Source organism: Homo sapiens, chromosome 10 (genome assembly GCF_000001405.40).
Source record: "Homo sapiens chromosome 10, GRCh38.p14 Primary Assembly".
NCBI classification, from domain to species: Eukaryota; Metazoa; Chordata; class Mammalia; order Primates; family Hominidae; genus Homo; species Homo sapiens.
The window spans coordinates 121,127,219-121,129,467 of record NC_000010.11 but is presented as its reverse complement, the minus strand read 5'-3'; the positions used below and the strand labels follow the sequence as shown (position 1 = coordinate 121,129,467).

At 46.8% G+C, this 2,249-nt stretch overlaps 1 long non-coding RNA gene across 2 annotated transcripts in view; it reads left to right on the top strand.

Annotated features, from left to right (window-relative positions):
* The window catches only part of LOC124902515 (uncharacterized), a 66,678-nt gene that overhangs the window by 56,077 nt on the left and 8,352 nt on the right, over positions 1 to 2,249 (top strand). The window lies entirely within an intron of this gene.

Genomic DNA, 2,249 nt, shown 5'->3' with positions numbered 1-2,249 from the left:
TGAGAGCACTCCCGTCCTCAGAGCAGCCTGGTGCGGTCATGGCTCCATGCCCTAGGAGGGCAGTTCTAAGTGGGTGCTCATTGCTTCCATCCTAAAGGGGAAAGGATACCAGGCTCCAAGGAAAATTTTCCAGTTATACCGGGGATGTGTTCAATATAACAAGGAGAGGTGAGATAGAATCTAGTTTCCAAAATTTCCCTCTAATGAGAAAATAAGGTCGCCTGGCAGTCACCACAGTCTAGTGAACACTCTGATTGGCAAGATTGTCAGGGGGCACATTACTTTGTTCTTTCATCCATTTGTTTATCAAATATGTATCAAGAGCCTGGGAGTATTCAGGAATTAAGAGGCTTTGTCTGAATAGCCTGGCCCCAGACTTGGTACCCTCTCTGTCACAGGCTGGGAAACTTTGGAAAGTCATTTAACACCCTAGAGCTCAATCTCCACTTCTATAAAATGGGGATAATCCAGTACCTACCTCTTAAGAGTTTGGGGAATGTTTGAACGAGATGCTGAATATGAAATGTTTTGTGTTTACTACCTGGTACAGGTAAGCGTTCGATATATATAAGCTATTGTTAAAATAAAAATGTGGGTCAGGCTCTGTGCGAAGCTCAAGGAGTAATCATTTGAATAAGGTGCGGCCCCTGTCCTTGGGAAGTCCACAGTCCTGGGAGAGAAACAGACAACAGACCCAAGATCTCAGGGCAGGATGCAAGAGGTCTGAAAACAAGGTTTGCAGGGGTCTCGGGAGGGCTGGGGAGATTACATAGCAGTGCCCCTTCCCCCAGCCAGGAGCTATTTTGTAATTCCTCTGACTTCTGATAAAAATGCTCAGTTTAGCTAAAACTCTCACCTTTATATTTCTACTCTGACATAATGGAGGAGGCTAGCTGGGATAGAGCTGATATTGACGGAGCAAACAGGACAGCAGGGAAATTCCGGGGCCTCCCTTGCCATCTTCCACCATCACGACGTCCTCCTCCCATAAGACGGGAAGATGGAGGGAATGGGTCTCAGAGTCCCCCTGGCTGCTGATGTCTTCAATCCCCTGCAATTTCAAGGAGTAACTGCTGGCTCTTCCTCAGGAACACTTCTCGTTCAAATGAACTCTTGGGCTTTTTTCCAGCTACTTAAACTCTTTGATTTGTTTAATCCAGGAAATGAATTGTAAAATGGGAACTCTCTTACTCAACTTCTATTATCTCTTGGCTCTAAAAAAATTAGAAGTCATATTCCATATCACCCTTTTAGGTCTAAGGAAGCAGCGGTCTGCGAACGGGGGTGATTTGACTCTCGAGGGGGGCATCTGGCAACATCTGAAGATATTTTTGGTTGTCATGGCTTGGGGAGGGGGTGGTGGTGCCACTGGCATCTAGTGGGTTGAGGTCAGGGATGCTGCTCAGCAGCCTACAATGCACAGAACAGCCCCCACCGCAAAGAATTATCCAGTCTAAGATGCCAGTAACGCTGAGGTTGAGAAAGTCTGGTCTAAGAGAATGAAAATTAGGTGGTGTGTGTGTGTGTGTTTGTACATGTGTCTGTGTGCATGAAAGAGCAAGACCCATGGATTGCTGTGAAGGGGGATGCACTATTTTTCCAAGGTCATAGAAGGTCATGGAGCGGGATGCCACTTTAGACTTCACTATATCAGAATCAGATTTACTGGTCAATTCAACTCCCCAATACAAAGTCATGTTCAGTTTCTAATGAGAGTGGATGGGAAACAGACCTGTGAAATGAAGCCAGAAGTTGACTGAGTAGACGACATTTATGAGGCATCTGAAGCTCACACTTGTGTCCAGTGACGTAACTCTGATGATAGCTAGAGAAATCCAGACTTCCAAATTCCAAACAAAATAGGGAGTTGTGGCCGGGGTCAAGGGGGTGAAACGGAAAAGAGCCTGGTCATTATAATGTATCTCCTACCGTGAAACCAGCAATGAGCAAGCAGCGTTAAAAAATAAACAGGACGTTCTCCTTCCAGGAGTCACGATCAACACTAATTGGTTTGGCGATACCTTAGTGACCATCTGGGAGGGAGGCCCCTCGCCTGGCTCTGGATGTCAGGCAATCGAGGCTCTGCGGTGACTGTGGTAAAACATCTGCTTCTTGGACTTCATGGTCCCGGGCAGTCTGGGCCACTGCTTCCCCTGCAGCACTTGCAAAGCAAGTGGCCTGAAGGCCTTTGCCCCTTTTGCAGATATCTGGCAATTACTCTCCTTTTGAAGTGGCTGAGCATTCCAGGG